This window comes from Homo sapiens, chromosome 12 (assembly GCF_000001405.40).
Source record: "Homo sapiens chromosome 12, GRCh38.p14 Primary Assembly".
Classification (NCBI taxonomy): Eukaryota; Metazoa; Chordata; class Mammalia; order Primates; family Hominidae; genus Homo; species Homo sapiens.
Genome location: NC_000012.12, coordinates 99,375,040 through 99,388,316, shown reverse-complemented (window position 1 = coordinate 99,388,316; position 13,277 = coordinate 99,375,040). Strand labels below are relative to the sequence as shown.

The following is a 13,277-nucleotide window of genomic DNA, read 5'->3' as shown; positions in this document are numbered from 1 at the left end:
GTACTAAATTATAAAGCTAAAGCTCTGATAATGAAATCTTAAGACATAAGACAGAGGGTGGGAGACTATATTAGGGATCATCCAGACCTAAATAAACTATTGATGTCTCTCATTTAGGCTTCCCACCTCCAGGACTTGACAGTCTCTTAAAGCTAACAGAGTTCTTTTTTTATTTTTATTTTTTTAAAAAGGATATCTGATCATGCCATTCCGCTGTTTAAGAACATCTTATGCTTTGTCCCTGCTTAATAACTTTTATATAAGAATATCCAAATGTCTTAGCATGCTCAACACAGTCCTTGATAATTTGGATATAACTTCCTGTTCACCTCTATCCAAATATATCATGGACTTCTAAGTATGTTGTTCTTAGAGTTCATGGCTCCTTGTTTTAAGTACTTTTTCATCATCTTGGAATGCCTTGGCATCTAATCTACTTGGTAAATTACAATTCTTACATGAACTGTGGCTAAAGACAACTCTTTTAGTTCATTCGGGCTGTTATAACAAAATACCGTAAACTGGGTAACTTACAAACCACAGAAATTAACTTTCCTGAGTTCCAGAAGCTGGGGAGGCCACACCGAGGCACCAGCAGATTTGGTTCTGGTGAGAGCCCACTTTCTGGTTCATAGACGGAGCATTTTCTCTGTGTTCTCACACAGTGGACAGGGCAAAGGAGCTCCCTTGGGCTTCTTCTTCTTCTTCTTCTTTTTTTTTTGAGACAGAGTCTCACTCTGTCGCCCAGGCCGGAGTGGCCGCAATCTCCGCCTCCGGGGTTCAAGCAACAACCCTGCCTCAGCCTCCCGAGTAGCTGGGACTACAGGCACGCACCACCACACTTGGCTAATTTTTTGTATTTTAGTAAAGATGGGCTTTCACCATGTTGGCCAGGATGGTCTCCATCTCCTGACCTTGTGATCCACCCACCTCGGCCTCCCAAAGTGCTGGGATTACAGGCGTGAGCCACCGCGCCCGGCCAGGCTTCTTTAATAAGGGCACTAATCGCCTTCATGAGGGCTCTGTCCTCATGACCTAATCACCTCCCAAGTGCCCCACTCCTAATCCCATCACCTTGGGAGTTAGTATTTAAACATATGAATTTTGGGAGGGTACAAACATTATGTCTATGCCAGTAACCTCCTTTGTGAAGCCTTCTTTAACTCCCACCAATTCTTGCATCCATACTCCCCCTAGCGTTCTTCACATGCTTCGACTATTGCATCTCTTACACAAAATTATTTACATGTCTGTGAGCTCCTTAAATGCAGGGACCATGTCTCAAATAAAGTGTATCCACAGTGTCCAGCATGATGACTGACCTTATAATAGGTGCTCAATAAATGGCAAATTATTGAATCACTGAAAGAATATTTGCTTTGCTGGGATTCTGCCACCTATGTGCCTATTGCTATGTATATAGTAAGGTGAGCTCTGTAGTTTTTTCTGAACTACATTGCTTTCTTCGGAAGCATGAGCCTACCTTTCATTCGTTATTTCATAAGTTGCCTCAGGGAGATATGTCATTTTTAATGTAAGTTTTTGTTACATAACTGATCTGATTTTACAGATGAAAAGATTGCAGTTATTTACATGAGGAAGATATTCATTTTTCTTAGACATTTATAAAGTAATTGGCCCAGCATTTCCAAAATCATTAATTTCACTCTAGAAAGCCATGTATCTAATAATGTACAATAATTTATAATTTTCTTCCCCTTTAGTGAACAAGTATCTAAGGCTTGACTTTGAAAATAACAGTAAAAACTTGAGTGATCCCTGTTCTTTCACGAGGTCAAAACAAAGCATAGCATGGCTTTTTTTTTTCTTTCCCATAACTGACTTTTTCTTCACCCTGATGTTGTTACTTTCTACAGGAGCCATTTATGAGGTTGGGAATCTTGTATTAGGGCCTGGAGCATTGAAGAGAATGAGACCTTTCAACATATTAGTGATGATCAGAATCCAGTGTGCGGAATGAATACCACTGACAGAATTCTAACATCTAACAATGCGTTCACACAATCTAGAGTGAACTCTCACTTACATGTGTAGGTGAGTTTTCCGTAGCATAGTTCCCCTGTGCTATAGTAGAAAAACTAATGGAGTGTTATTAGGAAGGCACATATGCTACAAAGAATCAACATTTATTCCGGAGTCAAAGATGTAATTTTTGTGTTATCTGCTTTTTTGGATCTGAATCAGGTCTATTGTATGTCTGTGTTCTCTCTATTAGCACAGATGTCTGGGTTCTATTTTATTAACTCGGATAATCAGGAGTTGACTATGGAAAGCTAATAATAGATTTCAGATTTCCTTCTGAAAAGCACATAAGCACATGTGAAAGGAAGCACTATTAACTAAACAAACCTCTCGGTTCCTAGTGATTAGCATTTTGACAAGCTGTTGTTTTAGATGAACAATTTAGATCACATGTTACGTAATTTCAAAGTATTTTTAATATATCTTTCAGATCTTAGTAATAAGTAAAAAGTACTTACTTTATTTAAATTTGAAGGAAATGTTCAGGTCTGTTTTAGTCTCCTTAGCATATTTTCTAGTCCATTGATATGTTCTTGGCCATTGATATGCAGCTGGGTTTTATTTCTATTATTAGTTATGATTTTCTAGAACAGGGGAACATTACAATAAATACTATGTTAAGTTCTCTAAGCTAAGTAGTTTGCTACTAACAACATGTTTGTTCCCTGAGGTTGCCTTATATCAAATTAAAACTGGAATATTAAATTTGAAGTGAACCTGAATCATTTCCCTGTATCTCATATTTAGCATATTCCCTTTCAGGCAATAATTATTTGTACTTTTAAAATTATTATTATTATTACTTTTGACACAGCCTCGCTCTGTTGCCCAGGCTGGAGTGCAGTGGCACAATCCTAGCTCACTGCAGCCTCCACCTCCCAGGTTCAAGCAATTCTTGTGCCTCAGCCTCCTGAGTAGCTGGGACTACAGGCACGTGCCAGCACGCCCAGCTGATTTTTGTATTTTTAGTAGAGATGGGGTTTTGCCATGTTGGCCAGGCTGGTCTCGAACTCCTGACTTCAAATGATCCACCCGCCTCGGCCTCCCAAAGTGGTGCGATTACAGGCGTGAGCCACTACACTCAGCCTATTAGTTGCACTTTAAGATTAATCTTAAATATATTAATCTAAAACCAAACGTCTATTATTGGGCAAGAGCTGATGTCGTATGTTCATAATACTATCTTAACAACTTTAAGCATATGAGCTACTGTGGTTGGGGCCTCAATTATTGCTGTTTATAAATTAAATATAAAACTGTAAACACTGAACAAAAATTAGGTGTATTATCAAATTTTCTAAAAAAGCCAGAGAAAGTAAGTTCATTCATTCATTTAACAAATATTCCTTTAGTACTTATAAAATGTTAATATCCAGGCAAGATACTGGAAATAATATAATAGTGGGAAGACATGCTCCCCTCTCACAAAAACTTTGTGGTAAAAAAAAATTTAAAACTAATGTTATTATAGTAAGTACAATATGAACATAGTTATAGGAGCACATAAATCTGGTCAGAAGAATCAGAGATGGTTTCACAAAACGAGTGATGCTTGTCCTGTGACTTGAAGTATTAATCAGATAGATATTGATGGAACATGGTGAGGAAGGAGAAAGAGAGGAGAGGAGGGGAGGGGAGGGAGAGGAGGGGAAGGCAGGGCAGGGCAGGGAAAGGAAGGGAAGGGACGAGAAGAAAAGAGCCTTTGGAATCACAGAAATTCCTACTTAAGTCTTTAGTTTGCCACTTACTATGAAAAATGATCTTTGGGTAAATGACAGTCTTTCAGAGATTCTTCTATTTTTCAAGATAATACAGATGGCAGTACCTAGCATAAAGCTTTGCACGTGGTAGGCTGTCAGTACACATTAGTTGTCCTCAGCTTCATTGAGCCTCATGACAATTTTGATGGTAGATAGGACAAACGGTATTGTCAACATTTTAAAGATTACATTTAAAGAGTAGGCTCACCGTGGTTAGGAAACTTGTTTACAGTCACAGAACCAATAAGTTAGTGGAAGAGCCTGGACTAGACCTCTTCCCACTATACTGTAACAAGGATTCCAGGCTTTTTTATTCATGTAATTATTTATTCAGTCAATAAATATTTCTTGAGCTTCTAAGCATCAGACACATTACTATATACAGATAATACAGTGGGGAGCAAACAGACAAAATCTCTGCTCTCTTTGAGCTGAGAGTTCATTAGAAAATGTTGACGTTATACCAGCAATTTCTCTCTTATTTTGAGACAGGGTCTCACTGTGTTGCCCAGGCTGGAATTCAGTGGCACGATTACAGCTCACTGCAGCCTACACTTCCAGGCGCAAGTAACCCCCCAGCTTCAGCCTCTTGAGTAGCTGAGACTACAGGCATGCAACACCATGCCCAGTTACTTCTTTTCTTTTCTTTTTTTTTTTTTTTTTTGTAGAGATGGGGTTTCACCACATTGCCTAGGCTGGTCTTGAACTCCTGGGCTCAAGTGATTTACTTGCCTCAGCCTCCCAAAGTGCTGGCATTACAGGCATGCGCACTGCACTCAGCCTATGCCAGCAATTTCAATGAATCCTAATGACTGTTATGCAAGGACACATTTAGGTGATCTGGGGGAGTGTATGGCAAGAAAGCATTTTTAATCAAGGGCATCGGGGAAGACCTGTAAAGGGAGGTAATATTTTTGTCAAAACCTGAAAAGTGAGCAGGAATTATGTGGTCACAAAGGAGGGAAGACTATTCCAAACAGTGGCAGGTTTGGCAAAGATATAAGTGAGAACATGATATGGTCAAGGAACTGAAACTGATCTGTAAGAGCAAGATCAAAGAATGGTGAGAGGTGACTGCAGAGATTGGCAGGGGCCAGGTTGTAGAGGGCTTCATAAGCCATTTTAAAGAGTCTGGATTTTATTCTACAGGCAACGTCTGCTGCATTTTCATCGCCACATAAATAAGCCTAACCACAGGGTAAATCGGGTCTGAAATGTGGCTCTTTTCTGCTTATCCCATAGTAGGGGCAATTACCTTTTTTTCAAAATTCTCACAGAGGCTCATATAAGCTTGTGTTGGTCTTGGCGGGAAACCATCTAAGGTTTAGGCAACAGAATGATATCTGATTTGTATGTTTCCATGTTCACGCTAGCTGTGCTGTAGCTTTGCCTAAAGGAGGCAACCAGGATGAGTGAAACTAGTTGTTACAGGTAAGTCAGTAGCAGCTTAGATCAGGCTGTATCTCTGGGAAAGGACAGAGGGTAGATGTCTAAGATGTAGAATTTACTAGGCTTTTGATTGACTGTGAAAGCTAGAAGGGAAGTGGGTGGGAGGGGGCAGGGAGGCTGCTTACTCTCCTGGCTTGAGCAGGAAACCTTAGGGGCCTCAGGTATAATATATCTAAGACTTCATGTTGAGCAAAAACTACTGTAGTGATTCCATGATGGGAAGGTATCAAAATCAGTTGGAACAGAGGGCACAATAAAAGCATTTAAAAGTCTTTTGGGGCCAGCAGTCATGACATTACACTTAAAGGGATGGCTTGCTTTTGTGCAAGCTCTCTCTCTCTCTCTCTTTTTTTTTTTTTTTTTTTTTAATACAGAGTCCCACTCTGCAACCCAGGCTGGAGTGCAGTGGTATGATCTCAGGTCACTGCAAACTCCATCTCCCAAGTTCAAGTGATTCTTGTGCCTCAGCCTCTGGAGCAGCTGGGACTACAGGCATGTGCCACTATGAACGGCTAATTTTTGTCTTTTTGGTAGAGACAGGGTTTTGCCATGTTGACTGGTCTCGAATTCCTGGCCTCAAGTGATCTACCCACCTTGGCCTCCCAAAGTGCTGGGATTACACGTGTGAGCCACTGCCCCTCTTTCTTTTTTTCCTTTCCAGAAAAGCTGCATCTCTTTGATATGCTCATTTTACTTCTTAGGACTCTGTCTATTTCCATTTGGCTAAGTTTGTTCTAAAGGGACATTAGTTGTTACCTGACTTCAGTTTTAATTTAAAAGATGTAGGGAGCTGTAATTATGAAAGTGATTGGACATGTGGGCACCTGATTCATCTCCCTGAGTGGCATTATGACTCACCTTCGTTAAAGCAGTTTTGCTTTGCCTGATGCCTTATCGGTTTGAATTTTCTCTACCCTGTGTGTGAACAATAAGATAAGTTTCTCTCATGGGTCATTCACTGCTCTTCATCTCTACTATGAGTCAGATGTTTTGCATTTCAAAACATTATTCTGCCTATAATTTCCCTCTTTGTAAATTATGCAGAAAATTTCTACCAACAACAGATTCTCATTTACTGACTTTTTAGATTTGTATCTGTAAAACATGTTCTAGTTGCTTTGCCATAATTTAGTGAGCAGTTTTGTGGACAACAACAATTAAAATGAGGTACTGTTTTGTTTTATCATCATTGTCTAAACATCAAAGTGTCTCATTAGTTAAGAGCATAATCATCTGTAAGAAAATCCAAATAGTGACAATTAAGCAATGTGAAAGGTCTTCTTCATTCTTTGCTTCTAGTTGCAGTCGGTTTTCCACCTTTCACATTCAATCCCCTGGAAAGAGCTGTCTACACTTCCTGGACTCACTTTTGGATCTCTCAGTCATTCCTGAAAATTACTCCACTCTTGCACTGAAGTCTCAGTTAGGTCACCACAACTGCCTTTTCCTAAATGCAACGGACAAAGTCTTTATTTTACTTGACCAGTCTGCTGCACTTAACCCTTGAAACCCTCTGCATGTGCCCCTCCACTATCCTGGTCTTCCTTCTACCTCTCCAGTCTCCCTTTGTGAGCACCTCCACCTTGGTCTCTTCCTAAAAGGTACTGTTCTTCATGGCCCTAGATGGAATTCTTGTCTCATTCTACACAGTGCGTTGGATGATCTTAGCCACTTATATGGCTTTATTGCCAAATCGCATACTGATAATCCTCAAAGTTTTATCTCCAGCCTAAGCTGGAATTCCAAATCCCTGAATTCATCTTTCTTTTGACCATTCGACTCAGTTGTCCCAAAGGTACTTCAAAGTGAACATGTCTGTATTCGTTTCTTAAGGATGCCACAAAAAGTACCACAAACTGGGTGGCTTGATACAACAGAAATTTATTCTCTCACAAGTCTGGAGCCTAGAAGTCTGAAATCAAGGAGTCAGCAAGACCATGCTCCCTCCAAATGCACTAGGAAAGAATCCTTTCTTGCCTCTTCCAGCTTCCAGGTGTTCCTCCTCTTGTGGCAGCATAATTTCAATCTCTGCCTCTGTTTTCTCATGGCCTTCTTCTCTGGGTCTCTGTATCCTCTCCTCTTCTTATAAGGAGGCCAGTCATTGAATTCGGGGCCCACCTTTGTTAATTGGTTTTGTTTTTATTGTAAATTCATGAACTTCATGGTGACAGAGATTATGATTTCTACTGGAATCTCTAGCACCTATTATGGTGTTAGTAAATGAACTGTTGCCTAACAAATGTTTGTTGTGGAGCATGAGAAAGGAAGGAAGGAAGGAAGGAAGGAAGGAAGGAAGGAAGGAAGGAAGGAGGAAAGGAAACTGATCAACAAGAATTAATCTGAAAATTTGATAAACAAGCCAAAATAAGTTTAGGTGTGGCTAAATGTAATTTTTTTCTAATCAATATATCAACAAAATACATTAAGAATCAGTGAAATCTTAAGCTAATTTTAAATCATCCTTTATATTCCAGCAAAAATCCGTGGTTCCCATGGATTACAATTATGGTTTCCCATTGCCTATTTAACAACTGACTCTTTTTAGCCTTCTTTATTAATTAGAAAAACAAAGTTCCTGCCTTTCTTGATGCCACAGGATGTGATATTGTTTCCTAAATATTTCTAGAACATGTTTCTAAAAACTACAAAATTAAGCAATTAAAAGCATTGTAGCTCAAAAAAGTTTTTTAACTATTTATAACCTAACAAAATATATTTTGTAGGTGTCAGCCTGCAAGAATGAAAAGAAGCACCGTTTGTAATTTCTATGTGCTTACTTTTATAAAAACATTTGAGCAGCTCTACAAATATAGCTGGTGAAAGCTCTGATTGAATATTTAGGCAACCAATAAATTAAAATGGACCAGACATGAAGGGTTGTATCTACTTTGCCTACATTAAGTAATCCTCCCATGAGAGGATCTGTGGTAGACCTCTGAGCTTGTAATTATTGAAAATGCCCTTGGTTCAACTAAATCAGACAAGGTCATATCAATGCCGATGAGAACAAGAGTGGAAGTGCCTCATTTTCCCACAGCATTCATTATGTAGACAAATAAGGATTACTCCAGGGAGTTAACTATATTCTTTGCAAGAAGGCAAGTTCACAAAAGAGACTCTAAGTCTTGATATTTTGCTCTATTTTGCATTAGTGCTATTTGATGGTATGAAATTCATACAACTTTCAGAACACATAATTATAATATTCACTAATTAAACAGAAAAAGTCAATCAAATTAGATACAGCTAGGAAAATGTCTTAGCATAACCCAGTAGATCTGCCTAGATTTATTGTCATTAAATTATCGTAAGTAGACACTAGGATTCACAACTTAGTGTTTATTATTCTTCATCTATTTTTAGTTTATTTTGACAAGTGGCAGAAGATTCTAGCTTTACTATGTTGTACTTGTGTAATCACTTCCAAAGTCTTCTGTAGCAATTTTCTTCACTCAACAAGATTCATTTTTGAACTCCCAGTAATTTGAGAGGAGTTAAAAGTTTCCTTCCTTTCAGCAATAAAAGTCATCATTGTCAATTAGATTTTTGTAGGTAAATTATCTCTATAATTATTAAGAACTTTTCTAAATGTTTTGCATATTCTCACTAATTTAATTCTCACAACAACCCTAGGTAAGTACTATTGTCATGTCTGATTTACAAATGGGGGATGAAAGCACAGAGCATATAACTGACTTGCCTTCATTGATAGAACTAGAGGTGAGTGGAGCCATGATTTGATTCCATCCATTCTGATTCAGGGCTTGCACTTTGACCAACACATTATTCTGCCTCTCAATTATCTCTTTATATCACATTTGTGATATACTTTAGAAAGTACATACCACTTTCGCTTATTAAAATTATTAATCCACATACACTAGATCTTTTATTTTGTAATTCTTAGTCTGTAAATAGACCTCGAGAAGCAAACCTTTTATTTCTCTAATTAAGTTAGGTCCTTTTGCAGTTGAGTCTCCTTAAGTCAGTTTCCTTAAGCAAAGCATTCAAGTACTGTTCCTCTTGGTGCCTCCCACATATCCATCATGTAAAGGCCAGACGCATAGGTTAACCACAATAGATGCTTCCATTACAAATGGATGGAAGAGTATAGGTACATAGAAGTCACTGGCCAATAGAAATTCTGAAGTCCAGCCAGGTACGTGTTGCCAGTTTTGTCAGTAGGGTTTGGTTCTACTCTCTGAGAGTTGGCCACGACTTTTGGCTCTGCCCTCTGGAGTCTTACTTTCTTTGAGTAATCTTTTCTTTATTGTTATAATAAGTGACCTATGCATAAAACTAAATCTTCTCAGTTTGCTTCCTGCCTATAGCAGTTCTAGAATTCAGAGGCTTCCTTTCATTTTGTACTGTCTCTTTTTCTTTTCTTTTTCTTTTTTTTTTTTTTTTTTTTTGAGATGGAGTCTCACTCCGTTGCCAGGCTGGAGTGCAGTGCGTGATCTCGGCTCACTGCAACCTCCGCCTCCCAGGTTCAAGCAATTCTCCTGCCTCAGCCTCCTGGGTAGCTGAGACTACAGGTGCATGTCACCACGCCCAGCTAATTTTTTGTATTTTTAGTAGAGGCAGGGTTTCACCATGTTGGCCAGGATGGTCTCGATCTCTTGACCTCATGATCTGCCCACCTCGTCCTCCCAAAGTGCTGGGATTACAGGCATGAGCCACCATGCCCGGCCTTCTCTTTTAAACTGGCAGTGTTTTCAGCAACACAATTCTTAAGAACTTCGTGGATTTTCTATGAATCTCATTGGGTTTCAGTCCATTAAACAAAAGCCACAGTCACAAATCTCTTTAAGATAATCCATTCTCTATTTTGTGTTCCCTGTAAGTCTGATGAAAGACACTTCCTTAGATACTTAGAAACCCTATATTGTTTAACAGGGAGGACCTATGAGGCATGTTTTTAAGATCCTCAGAGAGCCTTTTGTGGTTCTTAAATGATCTATGAGGTATAGCCTTAGATCTTTTTGAAGTCTTCACAAATGATCTTATAGTCCCACCCTGGATTTGATCTTTGACTTGAGGCTCTCTTTTAATTAAAGAATTGTTTGCCATCTGGAAAGGCTAGGAATGGCCTGAGTATTCCATCTATAAGGTGAAAGTTGTACTACCTTTTCTGACCTAGCTTGGGAAATCTTGTATTGTTGTTACAAGCAAGTCACAAACCTGTCCAGGTTTAAGGGGGCAGGAATCAGATTGTATTTCTTAATGGGAAATTTACAAGATTCTAGAAGAAAGTATGGGATGGGAGATATTGTTGTAGCCATCTTTGGAAAATAAAATCAAACTAAAAAAACACTAACGTGATTAAACATTTTTAAACATAAACAAATGGTTCACTGGTACTTAAACATGCAAATGCCTTCAATGTAGCTTGAAGAAAATATACACTCTTTTTCTTAAAAATTTGCTTTTGTCTAAACAAATTTTGAAACTTAGCTTCTGGAGTTGCTTTTGAAAAGCTTAAAAGATTTATTATGACTGAATGCTTTGTACTAGTCACAATTCGTTGGCAAAGAACACTTTTATGGTAGTTTAATTATTTTTGCTCTGAATATTTTTTTAAGTTTTTATATTGTGGAAATCTTACTGATGTTCCTAGGAAATAAAACTGTCTACAATGTTTTCTGCAGTGTTTCTTCAGATACTGCTAGCCCCACAAAAGCCAGAGTATAATAGAAACCGCATTTTGTTCAAGAATGATATGCTGAAGAATAATGACCAATTCCCTTAACTTTTCAACATTTTAGTTAACTCAGGCTCACACCCATAATCCACCACTTTGGGAGGCTGAGGCGGGCAGATCACGAGGTCAAGAGATAGAGACCATCCTGGCCAACATGGTGAAACCCCGTCTCTCCTAAAAATACAAAAATTAGCTGGGCCTGGTCACGCGCGACTGTAGTCCCAGCTACTTGGGAGGCTGAGGCAGGAGAATCGCTTGAACCTGGGAGGCGGAAGTTGCAGTGGGCCAAGATCGCACCACGGCACTTCAGCCTGGCGACAGAGCGAGACTCCATCTCAAAAAAAAAAAAGATAGGTGTGTGGGTGGGGTGTGTGTGTGTGTGTGTAAGGTGCAGGTTGTCTTAGATTAAATGAACATGTAAACTTTTTTCATTAAAACAATCAATGTATCCATGATTTAATCAATCCAACCCAGAGCTGTACTGGGATTGATTCAGGAGAATGAGTTTCCTGGACAAACGGTGCAATTAACTAGCTGTGTGACTTCTTTAAAGCCGTGGCAACTTACTTTAATTTGCTGAAATGAGGTGAGATGAGACTGTCATCAAGAGAAATATTTGTTAAATATCTTGTATTTACAAGGCATCCATGTGCGATTTAGTGTTAAAGCAGTTTTAATCATGGCAAGGCTCATATGGGAGAGTAGCCCATTACTTGAACCATGCAATTTAATTTCATCAGGAACATTTCTAAGATTATTCACTGTAATCTGAACTCTCAAGAGACTTCCTTTTAAGAGACCCTGTTACTGATATACTTTGAAGTTCAAAGCAATAATCAGGATTCCTTTCCTCAGCAGCATTTCCTAACAAAGCATTTGAGCTTTTTGTCTCTTCACCTTTCCACAAACCTGAAAATGAAAGCACTATCTGAACACCCCAGATAAAGTGAACTTGGTATTAAAGAGACTGTACAACTGCCCCTTCAAAACAACTGTTCGTTTATGGATAACAGCTATGCTCACCTGAGTGTGCAACAGGATCCAAGAGGAAAGCAAATAAAATTCCCAGATGGTTGAAATTTATGCTAAGGAATTTAAATCAGCATTTTAAATGTCACTCCACTCATGCATTTTTTTTCGTATCCACAGAGTTGGCATGATAATGTTTTATCATATGCATTGAGTTCTGATGCATGTCTGAGGTCATAACTGAGTAAAGAAAAGAAAGAACTTTCCATTAAGCAAACACTAAAGTTCAGAAGTTTATTTTTGAACAGCGAATGGTTTGATAATTCATGTATTCGTCTGTCATTTCTCTGATTTTGTGGTCGAGATCATTTGAAATGCACATGTATAAAATTCCTTCATTTACATTTTACTTCTTATGTTAGTTCCATGTGACAATATTCCACGTTCTAGTTCTTCATTTTCTTAGTATCTTTCACTGCTAACATCTATGGATTTAGAGGAAGAGAGAGGAAGTGTGTGTATTCTTTCTAGGACTAGAACATTGGACATATAATTCTTTTTCAGTTTGATCTCGTCTGTGTTAGTACATTTCCTCAACAGTTATGTATGGAAAGCAACATTACTCCAGTCATTTTTCTGAAAATAGTTTCAAGTTCAAAGAGTTAGCTATAAAGCCTTTGTCCCATTTAGAAATTATTGTATTTAGGGTTTTTTTTTTAACATGTCTTAGAGTTTTAGTTCATTATACCTTTGTCAAATAACACAGTTGGAAATTTGATTAGTTATTATTTGCACATTTAGATCAGAAAATCTGTATTTAGGATTTAGGAATTATGATACTATTACTAACAATGATTACTTTGTTGAGTTTTTACTATAGGTGAGTCATGAAGCTAAGTACATTTTCTAATCTCTTCAAGAATTCCCAGGAGATATCAACATTTCTCAGACAAGGAAAATAGTAACTTTCCCAAATCAACGTAAGAAAGGGACAGACCTGAGAGGTGAGCTCAGCTTTGTCAGGTTTAAAAACCAATGCCCTTATAGCAATGATATACACCAGTGGTTCTCAACTTGGGGTGATTTTACCCCTTCCTCCCAGGGCATATTGGGCAATTAAGGAAGATTGCTACTGGCATCTAGGGATACAGACCAGGGCTGCTGAAAACATCCTACAATGTACAGAACTGTCCACAGCAAAGAATTATCTAGCTCTAGGATGTCAGTAGTGCTGAAGTTAAGAAGCCCTGATATACCCAAGTGCTTTTTTAACTCAACTAACGGATTATCTTAAAACTTCAACTCTGTTCACCAAGTAGCCTTTAAGATAAGGTGATCCAAACTCATAGACTCCA

At 38.4% G+C, this 13,277-nt stretch overlaps 1 protein-coding gene across 22 annotated transcripts in view, besides 1 other annotated feature; it reads left to right on the top strand.

The window, feature by feature from the left end:
* ANKS1B (ankyrin repeat and sterile alpha motif domain containing 1B) overlaps nucleotides 1-13,277 on the top strand; it is a 1,250,151-nt gene that overhangs the window by 596,620 nt on the left and 640,254 nt on the right. The window lies entirely within an intron of this gene.
* Nucleotides 6,033-6,132: a silencer, noted in NCBI's record as "silent region_4758". NCBI's record gives its function as "represses an Ori minimal core promoter by ATAC-STARR-seq in GM12878 lymphoblastoid cells {active_cell/tissue: GM12878}" and the evidence as "EXISTENCE:reporter gene assay evidence [ECO:0000049][PMID:35858748]".